Source organism: Homo sapiens, chromosome 12 (assembly GCF_000001405.40).
Source record: "Homo sapiens chromosome 12, GRCh38.p14 Primary Assembly".
Taxonomy (NCBI): domain Eukaryota; kingdom Metazoa; phylum Chordata; class Mammalia; order Primates; family Hominidae; genus Homo; species Homo sapiens.
The window spans coordinates 68,587,255-68,612,508 of NC_000012.12; the positions used below are offsets into that span (position 1 = coordinate 68,587,255).

Sequence of the window (25,254 nt, forward strand, 5' to 3'; positions counted from 1 at the left end):
AAATATTAAATATTTGAGAAACAAATGACATCATTTCTTGAGAAAATTAGGGTATAAAAAAGTGCTCTATTTTACAGAACTGATGTGTTTCCAAGCAAGACCAGGAGCTACATTTTCATAAAAAGACATAAAATTTGCATTTGTTTTCTATTTAGTTTGCAGTGGTGCTGGAGAGACCACTGAAAATGGCAGAACAGCTACTATTGCCAATGTTCTTGTGGCCACTGCTGAGAATTTTGTCCTTGTCGTTAAAGAGGAAGCTGCTTCCAAGACTGTTCTCTAGAGCTTGACTAAGTAACCACTGTCAGTGTATTAAAACCACATTACCAGCACAGGGGAGCTCCCTGCCTCCACTGTCAGAGCTACCACAGTCACCATGTGCTATAGTTTGGATCTGTGTCCCTGCCCACATTTCATGTCAAATTTTAATCCCCAGTGTTGGAGATGGAGCCTGGTGGGAGGTGATTGGATCACTGAGATGGTCCTTCTTGAATGGTTAGCACCATCCCTTTGGTGCTGTTCTCATGATAGAGTTCTCGTGAGATCTGGCTGTTTAAAAGTGTGTGGCACCTCCCCTCTCTCGCTCTTGGTCCTGCACCTGCCATGTAAGATGCCTGCTCCCACTTTGCCCTCTGGCACCATGATTGTAAGTTTCTTGAGGCCTCCCCAGAAGGAGATGCTTCATTGCTTCCTGTATAGCCTGTGGGACCATGAGCCAATTAAACCTCTTTTCATTACAAATTAACCAGTCTCAGGTATTTCTTTTTTTTTTCTTTTTTTTTTTTTTTTTTGAGACGGAGTCTCACTCTTGTCCCCCAGGCTGGAATGCAGTGGCGCAATCTCAGCTCACTGCAACCTACCCCTCCCAGGTTCAAGTGATTCTCCTGCCTCAGTCTCCCAAGTAGCTAGGATTACAGGTGCCTGCCACCACACCCAGCTAATTTTTGTATTTTTAGTAGAGATGGGGTTTTACCATGTTGGCCAGGCTAGTCTTGAAGTCCTGACCTCAGGTGATCCACCCACCTTGGCCTCCCAAAGTGCTGGGATTACAGGCGTGAGCCACCACACCCGGCTTTTTTTTTTTTTCTTTTTTTTTTAGGCATAGTTTCACTCTTGTCATCCAGGCTGGAGTGCAATGGTGTGATCATGGCTCACTCCAACATCTGCCTCCCAGGTTCAAGTGATTCTCCTACCTCAACCTCCCAAGTAGCTAGGATTACAGGCATGCACCATCATGCCCAGCTAATTTTTGTATTTTTAGTAGAGACGGGGTTTTGCCATGTTGGCCAGGCTGGTCTTGAACTCTTGACCTCAGGTGATCCACCCACCTTAGCCTCTCAAAGTGCTGGGATTACAGGCATGAGCCACTGTGCCCAGCTCAAGTATTTTTTTTTTAAAGCCTCACTTTGTTACCAGGCTGGAGTGCAGTGGTGCCATCTCAACTCACTGGAGCCTCCACCTCCCGGGTTCAAGTGATTCTCCTGCCTCAGCCTCCCAGGTAGTTAGGACTACAGGTGCATGCCACCATGTCCAGCTAATTTTTGTATTTTTAGTAAAGATGGGGTTTCACCATGTTGACCAGGATGGTCTCGATCTCTTGACCTCATGATCCACCCGCCTCAGCCTCCCAAAGTGCTGGGATTACAGGCGTGAGCCACCATGCCTGGCCCAGCTCAAGGATTTCCTTATAGCAATGTGAGAATGGACTAATACAGAAAAGTGGTACTGAGGAGTAGGGCATTGCTATAAAGATAACTAAAAATGTGGAAATGGCTTTGGGACTGGGTAATGGGAAGAGGTTGGAAGAGTGTGGAGGGCTCAGAAGAAGACAGGGAGGTGAGGGAAAGTTTGGAACTTACTAGAGACTTGTTGAATGATTGTGACCAAAATGCTGATGGTGATATGAACAGAGATGGCCAAGCTGATGAGTTCATGAGTTCTCAGATGGAGATGAGGAACTTATTGGGAACTGGGGCAAAGGTCACTTTTGTTACACCGTGGCAAAGAGCTTGGTTGGATTGTGCCCCCGTCTAGGGATCTGTGGAACATTGAACTTGAGAGTGATGACTTAGAGTATCAGACAGAAGAAATTCCTAAGAAGCAAAGTGTTCAAGATATGGCCTGGCTGCTTCTAACAACCTATGCTCATGTGCATAAGCAAAGAAATGACATAAACTCAAAGTTACATTTCAAAGCAAGGCAGAGCATAAAAGTTTGAAAAATTTGCCTCTGAGCCATGTGGTAGAAAAGAAAAGCCCATTTTCAGGGGAAGAATTCAAGCCAGCTGCAGAAATTTACATAAGTAAAAAGAAGCCAAGGCCGGGCACAGTGACTCACACCTGTAATCCCAGCACTTTGGGAGGCTGAGGTGGGCAGATCACATGGTCAGGAGTTTGAGACCGGTCTGGCCAGCATGGTGAAACCCCGTCTCTACTAAAAATACAAAAAATTAGCTGGGTGTGGTGGCACATGCCTGTAGTCCCAAGCTACTTAGGAGGCTGAGGCAAGAGAATTGCTTGAACCTGGGAGACGGAGGTTGCAGTGAGCTGGGATTGTGCCACTGCACTCCAGCCTGGGTAACAGAGCGAGAGAGACCTTCACTGTAGCCCCTCCCATCACAGTCCCAGAGGCCTAGGAAGGAAGAATGGTTTCCATGGGCCAGGTCCAGTGCCCTGCTGCCCTGAGCAGCCTCACAGCCTCGGGACACTGCTTCCTGCATCCTGGCTGCTCCGGCTCCCACAGTGGCTAACAGGGAACCAGGTTAAGCTCACACTGCTGCTTCAGAGGGTGCAAGCCGTAAGTCTTGGTGGATTCCACATGGTGTTAAGCCTGCAGGTATACAGAATGCAAGAGTTGAGGCTTGGGAGCCTCTGCCTAGATTCCAGAGGATGTATGGAAAAGCCTGCATGTCCAGGCAGAAGCTTGCTGCAGGGGTGGACCCCTCATAGAGAACCTCTGCTAGGGAAGTGTGGAGGGAAAATGTGGTGTTGGACCTCACACACAGAGTTCCCATTGGGGCACTGCCTCACGGAGCTGTGAGAAGTGGACTGCCATCCTCCAGACCACAGAATGGTGGATCCACCAGCAGCTTGCACTGTGCACCTGGAAAAACAAGGCACCCAATGCCAACTCGTGAGTGCAGCCATGGGGGCTGAACTTTCTATTTTAAGTAGAGACGGGTCTTCACCATGTTGGCCAGGCTGGTCTCGAAGTCCTGACCTTGGGTGATCCACCCACCTCGGCCTCTCAAAGTACTGGCATCACAGGCATGAGCCACTGGCTCAGGTATTACTTTATAAAAACGTGAAAATGGACTAATATAGAAAAGTGGTACTGAGGAGTAGGGCACAAAGCCTTGGGCATAGCTGTCAAGGCTTTAGCAGCCCACCCCTTGTACCACTGTGCTCTTCATGTGAGACATGGAGTCAAAAGAGATTATTTTGGAGCTTTAAGATTTAATGACTGCCCTGTTGCGTTTTGGGCTTGCCTGGTGCCTGTAGCCCCTTTCTTTTGACTGATTTATCCCTTTTGGAATGGGAGTATTTACCCAATACCTATATCTGCATTGTATCTTGAAGGTAACTAACTTGTTTTTTATTTTACAGTTTCATAGGCAGAAGGGACTTGCCTTGTCTCAGATGAAACTTTGGACTTTTGAGTTAATGCTGAAATGAGTTAAAATTAGGGGACTGTTGGGAAGGCATGATTATATTTTGCAATATGAGAAGGACATGAGATTTGGGAATGGCCAGGGGTGGAATGATATGGTTTGACTCTGCATCCATATCCACAGGCAAGTCTCATGTCAAATTGTAATCCCCAGTGTTGGAGGTGGAGCCTGGTGGGAGGTGGCTGGACCATGGAGATGGTCCTTCCTGAATGGTTTAGCACCATACTTTTGGTGCTGTTCTCATGATAGAGTTCTCATGAGATCTGGCTGTTTACAAGTTTGGGGCACCTCCTCTCTTTCTCTCTCTCTCTCTCTTGTTGCTGCTCTTATCATGTAAGATGCCTGCTCCCACTTTGCCTTCTGCCATGATTGTAAGTTTCTTGAGGCTTCCCCAGAAGCAGATGCTGCCATGCTTCCTGTACAGCCTGTGGAACCATGAGCCAATTAAACCTCTTTTCTTTATGGATTCCCCAGTCTCAGGTATTTCCTTTATAGCAATGTGAGAGCAAACTAATCACCATGTCACCTGAGATGTCACCCGTATAGCCACTAGAGGAGCCAAGGCCAGCACAAGAAAACTTGGAAAGTAGAAAAATGTGTCTTCACTACTGACCTGTATTATCTAAAAAAAAGACTAATTTCTGTGAGAGTGGAAACCATGTCATTCTTACTCACTGTTGCATCCTTAATTTGGATATGTATAGTATATGCAAGAATGCAAGAGTTGGGATTACAATTTGACATGAGATTTGGTCATGTATGTGTATTGCACGAATGCAAGAGTTGAGGCTTCGAAGTCTCATAGTACATAGCAGGTACTCAAGAAACCATTGTTGAATGTGTAGATGATAGATGCATAGCTGGATAGCTAGATACGTAAACAAATGGATGTTGTTCCCTCCACGTGCCTTATGTTAACATGTTGGCGTAAAACAAACAACAAACCTCCAGATGGCTGCATTCAAGGGGAACATCTGATAGTTTGACACAGGAAGTAACTATCAAGTGAATGAAATTTTTTTTTTTAGTAACAGGAGAAGCCTTTTTGATGTGGCGCTCAACCTGAAAGTTGTTTTCTTCCTGTCAGGGTTAGGGTAGTATGGCACTTTGAAGACAGAGAAAATAAATTCCTGGGTATTAGCTGGCAGCTCTAGAAATCAGCACTGGTGAATTTTCCTTGGAGAATGGTTTCTCACATTTCAGTAAAATTTGGATCTGCCCAGTATCAAATAGAAAGGGAATAGCTAGACCTATACAAACACAGTTCATAAAGAATCTCAACCTAAAGTCTCAGGGTAGAGATGAGGGGTTGAACCACAGGGTTCAGCCCCCGCAGCTGCTCTCATAGGTTGGCACTGGGTGCCTGTGGCTTTTCCAGATGCATTTTTTTTAAATATCAGTAAACACTGGAACCTAAAGTCTCATTATGAAATCACGTTAGACTCCATTGTCTATACATGATTTAGCAACCCTGATAAAGTTAGTACTCTAGGATGGATAAGTGAGATGGGAGATGGGGTGGAACTGGGTATAAAACATTTTGAAGCAAAAACAAAGTTTCAGCAAATAGTGTTGAACTAAAAGAGTTCTTTCATAAGTGTTTTTAGCTATAGTTTTTACTGGTATGTCAGACTGAAATATAGGACAGAAGCAGCTTTCTTGAGGTATAATTTACATACCATAAAATTCACCTGTTAAGTGTACACCTCAGTGATTTTAGTAAGTTTATGCAGTTGTGCAACCACCACTACAATCCAATTTTCAAACATTTCTATTACCCCCAAAATTTCTCTTGCACACATTTGCAGTCAATTCCCAGTCTCATCCTAAGCCCCAGGGAATTACTATTCTGCTTTTTGTCTCTGTGGATTTAAATTTTCTAGAAATTTCACATAAATAGAATCATGCAAGATATAGTCTTTTGTGTCTGTCTCCTTTTGTTTCTCATACTGTTTTTGAAGTTCACCTGTGTGAACAAACTACTGATGTGTGTGTATATATACATATGTATATAGATGTGTGTGTATATATATAGATGTGTGTATATACATATATATATAGATGTGTGTATATACATATATAAACAGCTTTTTTTTTGTTGTTGTTGTTTTTAAGACGGAGTTTTCTCTTGTTGCCCAGGCTGGAGTGCAATGGCACGATCTTGGCTCAATGCAACCTCTGCCTCCTGGGTTCAAGCAATTCTCCTGCCTCAGCCTCCCAAATAGCTGGGATTACAGATGCCTGCCACCTTGCCTGGCTAATTTTTGTATTTTTAGTAGAGACAGGATTTCACCATGTTGGCCAGGCTGGTCTCGAACTCCTGACCTCAGGTGATCAGCCCGCCTCGGCCTCTCAAAGTGCTGGGATTACAGCCATGAGCCACCGTGCCCGGCCTTTTAGCTATTTTAAATAATGCTTTTATAAACATTTTTATACAAGTCTTAGCATGAGTATATATACATTTCTTTATTTTCTCAGGTAGACCTGTAGGAAATAAATTGCTGGGTCACATGCTAAATTTATGTTTAACTTTTTAAGATATTGCCAAAGTGGCTGCACCTTTTCACATTCTTGTGGTAATGTGCATTCCAGTTCCTCCATACACATGCATTCCAGTTTCTCCACATCTCCTATATTGCTATAGTCAGTCGAACAGTGGTATTTCATTATGACTTTTAATTTGCATTTCCCAAACCAAAGATGTTGAGGATCTTTTCATATGTTCATTAGCCATTCATATAGCTTTTTTGTGTGAAATATCTGTCAAATCTTCTGCCCTTTTGTTAATAGGGTAATTTGTCTTCTTATTAGTTATAAGTGGTATTTTTTACTCTTGATACAAGTGTTTCATCAGATATATGATTTGCAAATATCTTCTTTTAGTCTGTAGCTTGTTTTGTTTTTTGTTATTGTTGTTCGTTTTTTGTTTGTTTTGTTTTTTTAAGACAGAATCTTGCTCTGTCCCCCAGGCTGGAGTGCAGTGGCTCAATCTCGGCTCACTGCAACCTCTTCCTCCCAGCTTCAAGCAATTCTTGTGTCTCAGCCTCCTAGGTAGTTAGGATTACCACCACACCTGGGTAATTTTTTGTATTTTTGGTAGAGACAAGGTTTCGCCATGTTGGTCAAGCTGGTCTCGAATTCCTGGCCTTGAGTGACCCATCCACCTCAGCCTTCCAAAGTGCTGGGATTACAGGTGTGAGCCACCATGCCTGGCCATCTTTTCCTTCTGTTGTTGAGATGGAGTCTCACTCTGGTGCCTAGGCTGGAGTGCAATGACGCTATCTCAGCTCACTGCAACCTCTGCCTCCCGGGTTCAAGTGATTCTCCTGCCCCAGCCTCCCGAGTGGCTGGTATCACAGGTCCACACCACCACATCCAGCTAATTTTTGTATTTTTTTTTTTTAAATAGAGATAGGGTTTCACCACAAGTGATCTGCCTGCTTCAGCCTCCCAAAGTGCTGGGATTACAGGCATGAACCACAGCCCCTGGCCTTGTTTTTTTATTCTCTTAATTGTACCTTTTGAAGAGCAAAGGTTTTTAATTTTGATGAATTCACATTTATCAGCTTTTCTTTTATAAATTTTGCTTTTGGTGTTGTAACCCTTTTTGTTCTTGTTCTTTTTCTTTTTTTGCTTTATGTTTTTTCTTAATAGTTTTATATCCTCATTTTTTTATTTCTTGCATCTATATTTATGCCTAAGTTAAACTAAATCCACATTTCAAAACAAAATGTTTATCTGATTGTTCCCCTCTTTCATAAAATTACTTGTAAAAAGAGCCTCACTGGGTATTTTTTAAGTGAGGTGGACCCATTTAATGGTTTCAGTAAATATTATGTTGCCCCATAGGCCAAGATAATAATAGCTATTTATCAAGGGCATACTGTTTTTCAGGCACTGTTTTAAACTCTTTGCTGGTATTAATTCATTTCGTTCTTTTTTTTTTTTTTTTTTTTTTTTTTGAGATGGCGTCAGGCTCTGTTGTCCAGGCTGGAGTGCAGTGGTGCGATCTCAGCTCACTGCAACCTCCGCCTCCTAAGTTCAAGTGATTTCCTGCCTCAACTTCCCGAGTAGCTGGGATTACAGGTGCATGCCACCATGCCCAGCTAATTTTTGTATTTTTAGTAGAGACAGGGTTTCACCATGCTGGCCAGGCTGGTCTCAAACTCCTACTTCGTGATCCAACCACCTCCGCCTCCCAAAGTACTAGGATTACAGGCATGGGCCACTGCACCCGGCATAATTCATTTAGTTCTAATGCTCTCAGGTAGTAGGTACTATTATTATCACTACTCTAGAGGTATGCAAACAGATACACAAAATACTTCAGTAGATTGCCCAGGAATTAGCAGAGCTGGTATTTGAACTCAGGCAATCTAGCTCTAAAGTATGCATACTCTTAACCACTATGCTAGACTATGCCAAAGCAATTTCCCCTACAAAATAACTCCCCAGAGAAGATCTGTTTCTGTGAAGGTATGTGGCGGGTGTCCCGTAGTGTCACCCCAGCCCCTCTTCTCCGAAACTGCCTAGTTTGCCCACAAGGAAGGTTCCTGTTTCTTTTGTGTGAACTTCCCATGGGACCTAACCCTGCCCCTCCCCAAAACACAGCCATTGCTGAGTAAGCCAAGAGTGAACAATAATCTAAGCTGAACATATCATATTCTCATTCTTACTTGAGGTTTGAGAAACACTGGGATTGGAAATCAAGTCGGATCATTGGATGGTCATAGGCTGGGGCCTCCATCAACTGCCACTGCAGTCCCAGGACTTTCCTTAGTTCCATCCTTCCTGAGGCCTGGCCATTCAATAATTCCATCATTTCCTGAGATACCGCTGCATTTTTCTAATACATTCCCATTCTGTTTAAGGTAGGTCAGGTTGGTTGCTGCTTGCAACCAACCAACGGTCACTACTATAAGCAGCCATAGTTGAGGCTTATTCTCTATCATTTCAGGGTCCACAATCTGCCCCGTCACTGCTCAGGTTTCAGGACCTCCGGCCAGACCTGCTGACCTCTCTGAGCCCTAGGGCACTGAGCACTAGTGACACTCACTTGTCAAGTGTGTCTTGCCTGGGATAGTCTATCTAGGCCTTTCAGGAGACAACTGGTTTAACTGACAAACTAAACTGCTAATGAGAGAACTAGAAGAAACTCTCAGTCTCTCCTTCTTACTCTCAGGTAACATATGTATACTGTAACAGAGGATTTCTGAAGACAGTGGCACTTTTGTTTTGTAAACCAAGAATGGCTTTAATAGTGGTGATTTCGGGTCAAATAAGAGAGAAGAAATATCTCTGGGCAATAGAGGTCTCATTATGCCCCTTATGATTTATTTTCTCTAGGCAGCAGCTTCTTTCCCTTAGCAGAGCGCAGGCTAGAGAAGAAAGAGCCACCACTACATTCCATCAGAGACAGCAGTAGTTCCAAAGTGATTTCAGAACGTGCAGCAGCTCCAAAAGTGAAGCTAGCTCCTGTGATAGTAACAAGTGGCTTGTTTGAGAGAAGGAGCATGGGCTTTGAAGCCAAATCAACCTATATTCAAAATAGCTTTGAGAGAAGGAGCATGAGCTTTGAAGCCAAATCGACCTATATTCAAAATTCTGGCTCTCTGCACACACAGGCAAGTTCTGAGCCTCTTTCTTTGCCTTTAAAATAGTGTTGATAATAATGGCAACCTTGAAGGGTTGGAGGTTTCATTTGTAAAAAGCTTGACACACTGCCTCCCTTATATTATTTGAGTTTCCCCTTTTCAAAAGGCAGCAGCTCCATAGTTCTCTCTGTTGTTTCTCAAACACACAACAAAATTACTCACAAAAGGATCATACTTCTGAGTGTAAAATTGAGATACTTCATGATTATTGTTCTGTAATTACACAAGACATCAGATACTCAGTACCTGCTTTCCAGAAAGTATGATCTAGGCTACAGGAAATTTCCCTGTAGTTGTAACTATTGGATTACACAGCAAATACTACCCAACAATTGAAAAATTATCTAAAGTTTCAGAATATTTAAAAAATCACTGTTATTTTCCTTGCAATTTATTTTCCAATGGTTGAGAGAAAGCAGCTGAAAATTTTCTTTCCCAAATATAAAAGAATACTTTTATAATTATTCTAATACCTTTGTTCTTTCCATCAAACCTCACAAACACATCAGAACTTCATACTATTCATCAGTGTCTCTGGATGAGCTACCTTTGGCAGATACTAAAATCACCGCCAGGAACCATGGAATTAAGAAATCTAAGTATGGACTGAATTCCTAAAAATCCATGGGAAAATCTATCAATATAACCTTTAAAAGTGAGTCTAGATATTAATAAATGATAATAAAATCAAAGTAACTAACATTCATCGAATGCTGACTAGGGACAAGGCAGTGTGCAAAGGATTTTAAATGGATTCTTTCATTTAATCCTCACAAGCCTATAAAGCCCATACTAGTTTTAGACTCATTTTTTTCTGTGAAGAAACTCAAACTTAAGATATGGAAATAGTGTGAGTTCTCACAGCTAATAATTTATGAAGTCAGAATTTGAACCCAGGCTTTCTGACTAAAAGCCCAAGCTCTTTCTTAATCAAGACATTCCTTAAAAATTGCAGCAAAATATACATAAAATGTACCAATGGAATCATTTTTAAATGTACAGTTCTCAGTTGGGCACAGTGGCTCATGCCTGTAATCCCAGAACTTTGGGAGGTTGAGGAGGGCCGATGGTGCACACCTGTAATCCCAGCTACTCAGGAGGCTGAGGCATGAGAATCACTTGAACCCAGGAGGTAGAGGTTGCAGTGAGCTGAGATTGTGCCACTGCACTCCAGCCTGGGTAACAAAGCAAGACTCAGTCTCAAAAAAATAAAATAAATGTACAGTTCTGCAGCATTAAATACATTCATGTTGTTCTTCAACCATCACCACTATTCATCTCCAGAAATTTTTAATCTTCCCAAACTTACTCTGCACTCATTAAACACAAACTCCCCTCACCCCAGCCCCTGACCACCATTCTACTTTCTGTCTATATGAATTTTACTACTCTAGGTACCTCATATGAGTGGAATCGTACAATATTTGTCTGTTTGTGGCTGGCTTATTTCACTTAGCATAATGTCCTCAAGGTTCATCCATGTTGTAGCATGTGTCAGAATGTCCTTCCTTTTTAAGGCTAATTACTACAGCCGGCCCTCCACATCCACCAGTTCCACATCCTTAGATTCAACTAACCTCAGATTAAAAGTGTTTTTTTTGAAATTAAAAAAAAATTTTAAAACAATACAGTATAACAACTATTTGCATAGCATTCACATGGTATTATTAGATGAGATGATTTAAGAATACAAGAGGATGTGCATAGGTTATATGCAAATACTATGCCATTTTATATAAGGGACTTGAGCATCCATGGATTTTGGCATCTGCAGTGTTCCATTATATACATACCACATTTTGTTTATCCATTCATTTCTTTATCAGCACTTGGGTTGTTTCCATCTTTTGACTATAGTGAATAGTACTGCTATAAGCATGGGAGGGCAAATATCTGTTGCAGTTGGATTCAGTTGTTTTGGGTATATACCCACTAACTAAGATATTTTAGGCCAGACATGGTGGCTGATGCCTGTAATCCCAGCACTTTGGGAGGCCGAGGCAGGTGGATCACCTGAGGTCAGGAGTTCGAGACCAGCCTGGCCAGCATGGTGAAACCTGTCTCTACTAAAAATATAAAAAAATTCGCCGGGCATGGTGGTAGGTGCCTGTAATCCCAGATACTCTGGAGGCTGAGGCAGGACAACTGCTTGAACCCAGGAGAGGGAGGTTGCAGTGAGCCGACATGGTGCCACTGCACTCCAGCCTGGGCAATGGAGTGAGACTCTGTCTCAAAAAAAAAAAAAAAAAACTAAGGTATTTTAAATACCTTGCTTCTCTTTGCTATTGGCCAATTATTCTTTGCCTTTTGTTTTTTGTGGACATCTCCATTTATGAAGCATTTATAAATGTGTGAACATCTAGGGAGATTCTCATGTGTCATCTTAGGCCAGTATCATGAATAACAGTCGGAAGAGGCTGGGGTGGTTCACAGCTTGGGCAAATGTAGGTACATGAGGCAGACTGGTGAACCAGATAGAATTTTCAGACCAAATATATTTTAAACATAATTTTCCTCCCTTGGCTAACGAGTTTTTGACATGCTTTTTCAAGCATTAAGGACATGACAACCTCTGAAGAATTTAGATAAGAGACAGAAGGGGAAAGGGATCCTAGAGAAAAAAAGTTGTGGTTCTGAGTTCTACTATGAAGCAGGAAGGAAATGTGCAAACACATCAGTGATGTTAAAGTCAATCTTAAAAAAGGCAAAAGAATGTAATTTTTTTTTTTTAAGACAGAATCGTGCTCTGTTGCCCAGGCTGGAGTCCAGAGGCATAATCATGGCTCACTGCAGCCTTGACCTCCCTGTCTCAGGCCTCAGGCAATCCTTCCATGTCAGTCTCCCAGGTAACTGGGACTATAGGTGTGTGCCACTGCACCCTGCTAGTTTTTTTTTTTTTTTTTTTTTTTTTTTTTGAGATGCAGTTTTGCTCTTGTTGCCCAGGCTGGAGTGCAGTGGCACAATCTTGGCTCACCACAATCTCCGCCTCCCGGGTTCAAGCGATTCTCCTGCCTCAGCCTCCCGAGTAGCTGGGATTATAGGCGCGCGACACCGTGCCCAGCTAATTTTTGTATTTTTAGTAGAGACAGGGTTTCTCCATGTTGGTCAGGCTGGTCTTGAACTCTCGACCTCAGTTGATCCGCCCGCCTCGGCCTCCCAAAGTGCTGGGATTACAGGTGTGAGCCACCGTGCCCGGCCTAATTTTTTTTATTTAATTTTTTATAGAAAGTGGGACTTACTATGTTACCATTCAAACTCCTGGGCTTGAGCGATACTCCCACCTCATCCTCCCAAATTGTCGTGCCCAGCCAGGATGTAATTTTAAAAAGAAAAAAGAAATGGACAGAATCAGCTAGCACAGGGCACTGAAAAATACATGCCCTTAGAATGCTGCTCTGCCACTATTAAACTTTGTTATACTTTTATCAGAACCCCACTGAGTAATTGTTTTCTCAAATATATTCACCTTCAGACAAAATAGTCTGCCCACAACACACACCCGGGTATGACTCTTTTTTCTTCTTTTTGATTTGGTAAAGCATCTACCAGAACTATCCTTTGGTAGCTTTCTCCCTATTTAAACCATCCTTCATTACCCCATTATATTCTTCATTACACTGCTGTAGTCAGCACTGTAACCAGATGGAAAGGAATGACCATGAGATCCCTAGAAATGGGGACCTGGGCTTCTGCCTCAGGCTGACATTGCAGCCCCATATTTCTAAATTAGCCTCCAGCAACCTGTTTTCTAATCTGAAAATGGGAATAAAAATACCCAACTCAAAGGATTTTTGAAAGGATCAAATGAGATGAGTTCCTACTATGTAGCAGTTGCTTAATTATTAACTGCACTTCTTGTCTGGATTTTCAATCCACTTTCCATGTTTTCTTCACATAATAAAAATATGTGTGTATAGAAGAGGGTCCTTACTTTCTCAGCCTTGTATTTATATTATAGATAAAGATGTGTAATGTAAAAGCCATAGCATTTTTGCTACGGAGTACTTATGAAGGTATTGACCTGAAGTGATGTCATTTATACAAAAGCTGAAAAATAAGGAAAGACACATCACACACACAAAAAAAATACAAATGGCCATTCACTCAACAAAAGGAGGAGAGACTGTTAGAGACTAAAAGAGATTTAAGGGCTGAGCTCAGTGGCTCACACCTGTAATCCCAGAACTTTGGGAGGTTGAGGCAGGAGAATTGCTTAAGGCTAGGAGTTTGAGGCTGCGGTGAGCTGTGACTGTCCACTGCCCTCCAGCCTTGGGCTACAGAGCAAGACCTCGACTCTAAAAAAATAAAATAAAATAAATAAGAGATATTTAAGAGACACAACAATTAAATGTAATGTTTGGATTTGTTTGGACTATGAATTAAACAAACAAGCAGTAAAAAGTTATCTTTGGTACAATCAGGAAATTTTAAATATGACCTGGATATTAGATTGTGTTAAGGAATCATTTTTATGTATGTATGTATGTATTTATTTATTTATTTTTATTTATTTATTTTTTTTGAGATAGAGTCTCGCACTGTCGCCCAGGCTGGAGTGCAGTGACACAATCTCTGCTCACTGCAAGCTCCGCCTCCCGGGTTCACGCCATTCTCCTGCCTCAGCCTCCCAAGTAGCCGGGACTACGGGCACCCGCCACCATGCCCTGCTGATTTTTTGTATTTTTAGTAGAGATGGGGTTTCACCATGTTAGCCAGGATGGTCTCGATCTCCTGACCGAGTGATCCACCCGCCTTGGCCTCCCAAATAAGGAATCATTTTTAATTTTGTTACATGTGACAATGGCATCGTGGTTATATTTTTTAAATGTTCTATCTGTGGGGAATGCATACTGAATTATTTATAAGTAAAACAAAATGATGTCTTGGATTTTCTTTAAACTACTCCAACCAGAAAAATAGAGAGGATGGATGAAACAAGATTAGCAAACTGAGGTTAAATGTTGAAATGGAATGATGAGGACATGGTGATTCATTAAACTCTTCTATTTATTTATGTTCAAAATTTGCCATAAGAAAAAGTTTTTGTTTTTTTTTTTTAATTAACACTGCTATTTAGAGACTAGTTGAGAGGAAGGACAAAGTGAAAGCACATAAATAAACCAGCCAGACAATAAAAATAAAGAAAAGTAGTTAGATTTGACTGACTGACTCTGGAGTCAGTCAGAATCAATAGGATTTGCTGAAGAATTTGCTACGTGGAATAAGGTAGAGGGAAGTGGCAGATTTCTGTTTCAGGGAGCTGGTGCCATTTATTGATAGGAGGATTCCTGGAGGAAGAGCAGTCTTGAAGGAGGTCATCAAGGAAAGCTTTCCAGGAGGCAACTGGCTCTATGCATCTGGAGCTCAGCAGAGAAGTCTGAACTGCAGATAGGGATCTATGAGTTATTGGCTATTAGACAGCATGTAAAAACATGGGCAAGACTATAAAATTGCCCAGCAGAAATATATAAGGAAAAACTCCAGGATCAAATTCTGAGGGACTGCAACCCTTAAAGGACAGGAAGAGGAAGGGACAGGCCAAAGAGAAATTGAGAAGGAGCAGTCAGAGAAAGGAGGAAACCATGAGAATGTGGTGCTGTAAAAACTAAGGGAACAAAAAAACTTTTCTTTTTTAAGATGGAATTTCACTATTGTCACCCAAGCTGGAGTGCAGTGGCACAATCTCAGCTCACTGTAACCTCTGCCTCCTGGGTTCAAGCAATTCTCCTGCCTCAGCCTCCCAAGTAGCTGGGATTACAGGTGCCCGCCACCATACCTGACTATTTTTTTGTATTTTTAGTAGAGTTGGGGTTTCACCTTGTTGGCCAGGCTGGTCTCAAACTCCTGACCTCAGGTGATCTGCCTGGCTTGGCCTCCCAAAGTGCTGGGATTACTTGGCCTAAAATAGACTTTTTTTGAGCTTCCCTAATAATCAAATAGCATGTTAACGTACTCATGGTATAAACTTTATAGCATTGTTTCCATTGCAGAAATATCTTCAAATTGCAAACTACTGACAAACACAACCAATTTTTGAGAACTGTCATAAGCAAAGCAATGTGAAAGTTTAATAAACATTTGTTGAATTCTTACTATGTTTGCACAAAGCATTATTGTGCCAGAGGAAGTAGCAGAAAGCAACATATATTGATAATCCGTTAGATGATGATAGCCAGTAGTTAATAGAGTGCTTACTCTGTGGTAAGCACTATTCTATTTGTACTGTGAACTCATTTAATTCTCACAATAACCCATGACATAGGTTATATTATTGTACTCATTTTACAAATGAGAAAACTGAAGTACCCGAAGTAAATTCCTCAGGATGAGTAGAGCCTGTATTTCGACATGTGGAGTATGGCATCAGAGCTGGTCCGCTTAACCACTACTCTATATTACTTCCATTTTGACATGTGACCTATTTTAAATCCTTTTAAAAGGCCTAAATTATAAACATTGTTATGAGCATTTTAAAGACTAATAAAAAGGCCAGGCATAGTGGCTCACGCCTCGAATCCCAACATATTGGGAGGCCAAGGCAGGAGGATCACTGAAGCCCAGGAGTTTGAAACCAGGCTGGGCAGTATAGAGAGACCCCTGTCTCCACAAAAAAAATTTAAACATTTAGTGGGGCACAGTAGTGCCTGCCTGTAGTCCAGCTACTCAGGAGGCTAAAGTGGGAGGATTTCTTGAGCCGAGGAGTTTGAGGCTGCAGTTAGCTGTGATCATGCCACTGCACTCCTGGCCGACAGAGCAACACCCTGTCTTGAAATTTAAAAAAGAATAAAGATTAATAAAGAGAAACTTTCAAAGGCTAAATAACTGCCAGAGGTAAATCCACTATGATTAATTTGGAGACTCTAACCAAGATTAGAAAGACCTCCCCCTACATTTGATTCTAATCTGTAATGCCTGGCAGTATAGTAGGTACAAAGAAGTTTAAGATACAGTTTCGGTTTTTGAGGATCTCAGAATGGAAAGAAGACAAAAGCAACTTAAGTAAGGCAATGTATGATAAGTACCAAATGGAGTGGTACAAACAACAATTATTTGGAAAATTCAGAGAAGGAAGGGACCACTGGGTCTTGAAGAATGACTAAGATTTAGATAAATACAAAATAGAAGAAATTTTCTCATCTTTATAATGGGTCTTTAAAACCTACCTCTTGGAATTTGATAACTATTACTGAGATACGTGACTCATACACAGGACTTGGCCATAACTGGAACCAGAAGCTAAATACTATCCTAATAATAAAGTCCCAAGAAATGCTTGACTCGCGCATATTGGGCATATTAGCTGTTTGATTTGGGGACAGCCCAGATTCTGAAAGTATATGTGGTTTTTGAAGATTTTCTTAATTTAAAATTTCTTTTGAAAATTTCATAATAGGGTATATTTTATGAAGTTGGTTTTTCCAATAGTTTTGTGCTTTTAACACTCATTTACATGATGGCTCTGGTAATGCCATTTTCATTTTTACGGTTTTTCTCAGCTAAGACTTGAGATGGGGAAATTTTAAGTATAATCTGTTCCTTACATCACAGACCTTAGCAATGACAAAATTAGAGGGCTGTTAGATTTATTTAATGTGGTGTAGGCAGGTTTGGTGGTCAAGCCCACAACTGCTGAAACTGAGTATAGACAGAATTTGAAATATATCTTGAGACAAATAAGCAGTTATTACAGTTATTACACAGAATAGAAACATGCCAAGCTGCTTCATTTTTCTTATATATAAGTGCATGGTTTCCCCAAAACAGAAATCTTAGAGGAACACAAACTACCCTAGGAGAGTATGAGTTCTGAGTGTTTTCTCATAATAGCAATGGTCTAATATGCTCTTACCTGGTCTCCTGTGTGATTAAGTGGTAGAATTTATAAAATAACTGCATTGAGTTTGGAATGCAGTCTTTGACCAAGAAAATAGAAGGAAACTACTGAAGATGTAATTTTTTTCTTTTTCTTGCTTTCTTTTTTTTTAAAGCAGCTGTCTACAAACTAATAACTAGAGATGTAAGCCATGTATTTTTTCTCTTTTGCATCTAATAAGCAGTCTTCTTATTCTTTACAACTTCCCAACCCAGTCACACAGGGTGTTGCAAAGGTACAGAACTGTATTTATATACCATACACTATATATACATACATAGATTTATATAATACATGCATACACACACACACACATCAGAGGGAAAAGCCAGTAAGGAAGTGAAAGGATCAAATTCAATATTGTTAATTTGTGAATGAAATAATATACTAATGTTTAATGTTAAGGAACATTAATGTTACTGATAACCATGATAAACTGGAAGTTAAATGTTTACATTGATAATCATTAACTGTCAATTAGGAAAATTATAAATCTGGGTCTTTTAAAAATCCAATTTTGGATTTGCAATAAGACCGCTACTCATATGGACTTTTTAAAGTGAAACCAATGAAGCATAGATGTTATTCCTTTAAAGTAAAACTTTTGGCCAGGCACGGTGGCTCATGCCTGTAATCCCAACAGTTTGGGAGGCTGGAGGCTGAGGTGGGCGGATCACCTGAGGTCAGGAGTTTGAGACCAGCCTGGCCAATATGGTGAAACCCTGTCTCTACCAAAAATACAAAAATTAGCCAGGCGTAGTGGCGCACGCTTGTAATCCCAGCTACTTGGGAGGCTGAGGCAGGAGAATCACTTAAACCCGGGGAGGCGGAGGTTGCAGTGAACCAAGATTGTGCCACTGCACTCCAGCCTGGGAAAGAGTGAAACTCTGTCTCAAAAAAAAAAAAAAGTAAAACTTTTAAGGAAGTAAATAATATGAAAAATTAGAAATACTGTTATCAGGTTAAATAGTTAAGGACACTATTAATTCACTTTCTTTAAAAGGGGAAAAACTTGCTTTGAGCTGCTTCTTGTTCCAGAGACTGAGACATTGCTATTTTCTACACACTATTTTACAACAGTTCTGTAAGGCAGATATTATCATCCCATGTTATAGATGAGGAAACTGAGATTCAACATGATAATGGGATTTTTCCAAGACCACTAGGCTAATAAGTATAATAAGAGCTGGACTCTGATTCTCACCCCCTCTGCCATTTCACACTACCTTAGGAAAAGAAAACTCAGCAAATATATCTTAAATGCCTATTATGTGGAAAGCACCAAACTGTGTTTCTTATAAAGATAAGAAATATGATCAGCACAGTGGCTCACACCTGTAATCCCAGCATTTTGGGCATCTAAGGTGGGAGGATCACTTGAACCCAGGAGTTTAAGAGCAGCCTAAGCAATATGGTGAGACCCCTGTCTCTACAAAAAATAGAAACATTAGCCGAGTGTGGTGGCACTTGCCTGTAGTCCCAGCTACTTGGGAGGCTGAGGCAGAAGACTGATTGAGCCTGGGAGTTGGAGGCTGCAGTGAGCCATGATCACGCCACTGCACTCCAGCCTGGGCAACAGTGAGACTCTGTCTCAAAAAAAGAGGAAAGGAGAGGAAAGGAGAGGAGAGGAGAGGGGAGACGGCGGCGGGGGGGGGGGGGAGGGCAGGGGAGGGGAAGGGAGGAGAGGAGAGGAGGGAAATCCTGATCTTGTAGGAAATATACATACACACATACACATTCTGATCTGGATTTTATCTTCTAGTATAGGCAGGACCAGTTACATAATTTATGGGACCCAGTACAAAATGGAAATTCAAGCTTCTTATTTAAAAAATTATTTAAAACATCAAGATGGCCAGGCGCGGTGGCTCACTCCTGTACTCCCAGCACTTTGGGAGGCTGAGGCGGGCGGATCACTTGAGGCCAGGAGTTCGAGACCAGACTGGCCAACATGGTAAAACCCTGTCTCTACTAAAAATACAAAACATTAGCCAGGCATGGTGGTGGGCGCCTGTAATCCCAGCTACTAGGGAGGCTGAGGCAGGAGAATCGCTTGAACCCGGGAGGCAGAGGTTGCAGTGAGCCGAGATCGCACCTCTGCACTCCAGCCTGGGCAACAGAGCAAGACTCCGTCTCAAAAACAAACAAAAAATCAAGATAGTGACATTAGAGCATTAAACCAATCATGGAACCCTTCTAAGTACAGGGCTCTGTACAACTGCATGCATGAGTCATATGCCTGTGAAGCTGGCCCTGAGTACAGGGCTCAGCAAACTATGGCCTACTGGCCAAATCCAGGCCGCCCCTGTTTTTGTGCACCTATAAGCTAAGAACAATTTTGACATTTCTTTTCTTTTCTTTTTGAGACAGGGTCTTGCTCTGTCACCAGAGCTGGAGTGTAGTGGCATGATCATAGCTCACTGTAACTTCAAACTCGACTTGGGCTTAAGCCATCCTCCCACCTCAGCCTCCCAAGTAGCTGGGACAACAGGCATGTGCCACCACACCTGGCTAATTTTAAATTATTTTTGTAGAAACAAGGTCTTACTTGTTACTATGTTGCCCAGGCTGGTCTCCAGCTCTTGAGGTTCAAGTGATCCTCCCACCTCAGCCTCCCAAAGCGCTGGGATTACAGGCGTGAGCCACCACACTTAGCCGATTTTCACATTTTTAAATGGCTAAAAGAAAAAAAAAAAAAAAGAACATTTCGTGACACGTTAAAATTACTTGAAATTCAAATTTTAGTGTCCATAAATAAAGTTTTATTAGAATACAGTCAGGTCTATTCTTTATGTATTATCTATGGCTGCTTTTGTCCCACAACTGTAGAGTTGAGTGGTTGCAACAGAGACCATCTGTCTGGCCCACAAAGTCTAAAATATTTACTCTCTGGCCCTTGACAGAAAAAGTTTGCAAATCCCTATTCACAGGAAGGTCAAACACAAGTGACAAAGAAAAGCAGCAATAAAATGTTTCAGGGATTCTAAAGAGAAGAGAATACATAAGGTTAGAAGTATCAGAAAAGAAGCTCTTTTTTTTTTTTTTTTTTTTTGAGACGGAGTCTCACTCTGTAGCCCAGGCTGGGGTGCAGTGGTGCGATCTCTGCTCACTGTAACCTCCGCCTCCCGGGTCCCAGTTCAAGCAGTTCTTCTCCCTCAACCTCCCGAGTAGCTGGGATTACAGGCATGTGCCACCATGCCCAGCTAATTTTTGTATTTTTAGTAGAGATGGGGTTTCACCATGTTGGCCAGCCTGGTCTTGAACTCCTGGCCTCAAGTGATCCGCCCGCCTCTGCCTTCCAAAGTGCTGGGATTATAGGCTACCGCGCCTGGCCAAGAAGCTCATTCTTAAGAGAAAGTAGATAAACCTTGAATAATGGGCAAGGTATTTGCAGAATGAGATGGAATGGGAAGGGGCATTCCAGGCAGAGGAAATCATTCACCTATGCACAACAGAGAGATGGGGAAGCAAATTATGTGGGCCAGATGAAAAGTCCACTGTCCATTCTGACTATAAATCAGTTTTGAGTGAAAGGAAAAAGTGAGACACAGGATTTTAATTTTATTTTGGTAGAGTGGGGAGTAATTGAAGGCTCTTTGAGGAAGGGAGTGACTTGCTTGGTATGCTTTAAGATAATCATCTGGCAACAATGTATAGAATGGATCACAGCAGGAACAGACTGGAGGCCACCAGGCTGCAAAGGTCCAGGGGATGAGTTCTGCCAAACTAAATTTGGCAACTAAAAACTAAGTATGGTCTTAGTTGAAATGGAAAAGAGGAAACACAATGAAAGACCTTGTCGAATTACTATCTAATAGATATGCCAATTGATGGATTATTCAAGAAGAGCAGAGAGCTAAGTATCAGGCTTGAAGATTGGGTAATTTAAAAGATGGTGATACAATTCACAAAGGAAGAGGAAAAGAAACTGGTTTGGTTACAAAGACGATGAGTTCAGTTTGCACACATGACCAGTGCAAATTGCCAGTGGAATATCCTGGAGAAGAAGTCAAGGAAATAAATAGGAAAGAGGCTCAAACTGAAAAGTGAGTTCAGTGTTAAGAGATGCAGATTATGGTATTCTCTGCATAGTGATAACAGTTTAATACAAATAACAATGATTTCCAGTCTAATAAGAGAAACTGTGTTTTTAATTAAATAGATTATTTTACACGTTCTCTCAAACTCTAAAAATTCTAGCTTCAATTTTCTAAAACCAATTTCTTTCTGGAAAAAAAAAATCAATTGCCCAAAGGACAAAGAGTTTTTCTAAAAAAAGAAAGAAAGAAAAAGCACAGTGTTCCCAGGTAACACTTCTGTGAGCTCAAAGTTTCAGACTTTCAGTTATCAAATTTTTATGCAATAACTGAAAAGTTAGTAAAGTCAAATTTATTTGTAATTCACTCATTCATTGAGAAGTTACAGTAATTCCAACGGACTGCTCTGAAATTTGCCTTTGAAACTTTTATTTAAAAAGGTTTTCTAAAGAATGGATGTTAAGTGTTCTCATAAAAAAATGCTAACTCAAGGCCAGGCGCGGTGGCTCACGCATGTAATCCCAGCACTTCGGGAGGCCCAGGCGGGCGGATCACCTGAGGTCGGGAGTTCCAGACCAGCCTGACCAACATGGAGAAACCCCGTCTCTACTAAAAATACAAAATTAGCCGGGCGTGGTGGCGCATGCCTGTAATCCCAGCTAGTCGGGAGGCTGAGGCAGGAGAATCGCTTGAACCCGAGGGTGGGAGGTGGGGGCGGAGGTTGCAGTGAGCCGAGATCACGCCATTGCCTTCCAGCCTGGGCAACAAGAGCGAAACTCTGTCTCAAAAAAGAAAAAAAAAATGCTAACTCAGCCGGCGCGGTGAGTCACGCCTGTAATCCCAGCACTTTGGGGGGCCCAGGCGAGCGCATCACCTGAGGTCAGGAATTCGAGACCAGCCTGGCCAACATGGCGAAATCCCCTTTCTACTAAAAATTAGCTGGGCGTGGTGGCACGCGCCCGTCATCCCAGCTACTCGGGAGGCTGAGACAGGAGAATCTCTTGAACCTGAGAAGCAGAAATTCCAGTGAGCCGAGATCATGCCACTGCACTCTAGCCTGGGTGACAGAGCAAGACTCTCAAAAAAAAAGGTAACTCTGTGAGGTAATGTAACAATGTATACATTACTTCAAACGATCATGTTGTATACACAATAAATGCAGACAATAAACAATTTTTAAAAAGATATTTTTCTAAGGAAATAGAAATTATCGAAATAGGTAATCTACTCAATTAACCTAAATTGTAAAACATTATAAAACACAGAGAACTGTTATAATTCATTCTCATCTATTCATTTAACTTAGGTTAGCTTAGTTTTCAATCACTACATATTCTTAAACGGAGTGAAATTAGTCACATTCCATTTATCTTCCAAATTTATCAACGTTTATTAAGATTTATTTCAAGAATAATTTGTACAGGGCCTAATTAAATTATGAACCAAGAAAGTTAGTCTTAAATGACCCCTCAATCCCTTTTCCCTGCACTTTGCTCTCTTAATCTCCTCGCCCATCAAAACTGCTTCAAGAAAAAGTTCTGATAAATTTCTTGTACTAAGGGTAAGTAAGAATGGTAAATTCCCGTGTTAAGTTCCCGCCCTTTTTGGAACGAGGCATTTTGGAACAGAAAGTGTTTTCTGGTGCCCTGAAGTCACACGATAAACCTACTTGCCTATGGGTAATCCTGTGAAGTGAATAAAGCGTCCAGGACATGCATTTAAATACGCAATTTATTTTAGTTATATAAATGGCGTTGGTTTAGGTGCAGGGTACAAACTTATTTAGAAATCATCGATTTGTTAACTGCGTTTGGCATGGGAATTTGGAAAGAGTTCGCCCGGGTTAAGACACCAATGGATAAAACACTTGTCAATCCAGGAGAAAAGGCATCTCAAGAATGGAAAGACTTGCTGGCCCAGGCTCCCTCGGGGAGCTCTAGGTGTAGAAAATGCGCGCTCTCCGTTACTTCTCGGTTACTTTGCCCAGCACAAAGGACGACGCGAATACCAACAGACTGGACGAGTCGGTGACTACAGTTTGCATTAAGAGGCGGCGCCTTTTGGGTTTCGGAGGGTTCCACTGGAACCCACGAGGGTCAGGAACACCGACGCGCGGATTCCGCCCACCAGACAGCCTGGGGAAGCGAGCCTGAAGGCGCGGCGCAGCTAGAGAGAAGAACCTCGGCAGACATGCCGCCCAGAGGCAGCTAAGGGGCCCGTGGGCAGGGCCTGCGCTCCGGCTGCGATGCAGGCCGGCTAGAGGCCGGCGCCGAGGACCCGGCGCGCGGCGGCCCCGCCCCCTCGGCTCCCCTCGCCCCGCCCCCTAGGCCCGCCCCTTCCCGGGCCGCGCACCCGCGCGCCCCGCCCGCGGGCGGAAGCTGGAGCGAGGCTGAACGCCTGACGTCAAGGCGACATCGCCAAACCTCGCCCAGATTCAGGCGTGTAAACCAGCCGGAGCGGCGCGGCAGCGGCAGGACCGCCGTGGCGCCTAGAGTAGCGACCCGGGGGGAGCGCGGGGCGACGCTGGCTGCAGGGACCCGGTGACAGCGTGAGAGGTTCGCAGAGTGAGTGCGTGGCCGCTGAGGGAAGCCGCGGCGGCGGCCGCGCGGGGCCGGGCGCCGGCTGAGGGGAGCGGGTGGGGTGCGGCGAGGCGCGGGCCGGGCGCGGCGGTCAGGGGCCCCGGCGGCGGCAGCCCCTCGGCGCGCGGCAGGTGGCGCGAGGGCCAGGCGCCGGGCCCGCGAGCGCGCTGCCTTGCGGGCCGGCGAGGAGGAGCAGCCGCCGCCGCCGCGGGAGAACAGCGCGCTTTGCGGAAGGGGTCAAATGTCTGAAATATGGCGGAGGAAGTGAGAGCCCGAGGACCCCCCCACCCGCCCGCTCTCTTCAGCCCGCGTCCGCCGCAGCTTCTCCCGCCGCCCTCCTTTCCCCGCCGGCTCCCCCGAAGACTCGCTCCCCGCCCCGAGCCCCCTCGCTTGTCGCCTGGGTTCCCTCCGTGGTATGGGTGGAAGTTAGAACGGAAACCAGAAAGTTGTCCTTTGCGAAGACCTAGCTTCTCCCAGCCCCGAGCTAGGGCGAGGAGCCTTCGGGGGAAACCACTCCCAGGCGCCCCGCGGGCTTGAGCCTGACAGCGAAAAAGTTTGCCTGAAACGGGGCTTGCTTGCTCCATTTGTTGCGGGAAGTGGCAGGAGGAAGGCAGCGGAGAGAGCCCCACTTAGTCTGGCAGCAGCCACCGTGTAGAGAAAAACTGTTAAAGGGGCCTTTCCCTTCGTCAGCAAGAGGAAATCTCTTTCTCTTAGAGGGAGAGAAAATCCAGGAAGTTTGTCCTCTTCTCTTTTTCGCCATCTCGAGGTGTCTAATCCTAAAACTATCAGCGCCATGAATTTTATTTAAAACTACGCCCAGTGAACCGGGCTCTCCGGATTTTTCTTCTGAAAAACACTGATGTCTTTTGGAGAAAAGATCATTTTTGCAAGTTAAAGCAGATGGTTTCCTTCCCCTTCGCTTTCCCCCCTCTCCCACTCTCTTTAATAGTTTAGAAAAACATTTTGGCCCTGTAACTTCTGATTGGTATGAATAGAAGCAGTTCTGTGTTGCAGTAAGGGGAAATCACATTTTTACGGGGTAGAAAGTTGACACTAAATGAAGATTGTGATTTTAGTATTTTAAAATTAATTCCGTCTAATTGGATTTTGGTTTTGCAGGCAGCATCTCATATATGTCGAGTACTTAACAATTTAAAGCTCTGACTTGTAAATTTATTTTTCAGCTCTCTTTTTTCGTAATTAGAATACTGTTTGGACTTGCTCAACAAGACCTTATCTTAACAAAAAGTAACTTATAGAAAAGGGAGACATTCATTTAACTTCAAGCCCATATTATTCTTAAAAGCTGACTCTTGAAATAGTATTTATTGAGTCATAGTGGAGTCATGGGACTTTTTAAGGGCCGGAAGGGACTATTTAGATCATCCAGTCCCACCCTGTCATTTTATGGAGGAGGAAACTGAGGCCTAGATAAGATAAC

The 25,254-nt window shown here is 42.9% G+C and overlaps 1 protein-coding gene across 6 annotated transcripts in view, besides 3 other annotated features; it reads left to right on the plus strand.

The window, feature by feature from the left end:
* Positions 604-653: an enhancer, noted in NCBI's record as "active region_6639". NCBI's record gives its function as "activates an Ori minimal core promoter by ATAC-STARR-seq in GM12878 lymphoblastoid cells {active_cell/tissue: GM12878}" and the evidence as "EXISTENCE:reporter gene assay evidence [ECO:0000049][PMID:35858748]".
* Positions 4,815-5,024: an enhancer, noted in NCBI's record as "active region_6640". NCBI's record gives its function as "activates an Ori minimal core promoter by ATAC-STARR-seq in GM12878 lymphoblastoid cells {active_cell/tissue: GM12878}" and the evidence as "EXISTENCE:reporter gene assay evidence [ECO:0000049][PMID:35858748]".
* Positions 23,502-23,961: a silencer, noted in NCBI's record as "silent region_4647". NCBI's record gives its function as "represses an Ori minimal core promoter by ATAC-STARR-seq in GM12878 lymphoblastoid cells {active_cell/tissue: GM12878}" and the evidence as "EXISTENCE:reporter gene assay evidence [ECO:0000049][PMID:35858748]".
* RAP1B (RAP1B, member of RAS oncogene family) overlaps positions 23,645-25,254 on the plus strand; it is a 61,003-nt gene continuing 59,393 nt past the window's right edge. For 4 of the 6 annotated variants that reach the window (NM_001010942.3, NM_001251922.2, NM_001251921.2 and 1 more), the window contains exon 1: positions 23,645-23,789. The gene's annotated coding sequence lies outside the window, so the exon portion shown is untranslated. Of the gene's footprint in view, positions 23,799-25,254 lie in introns of all 6 variants that reach the window. The other 2 variants (NM_015646.6, NM_001251917.2) reach the window with 1 other exon arrangement.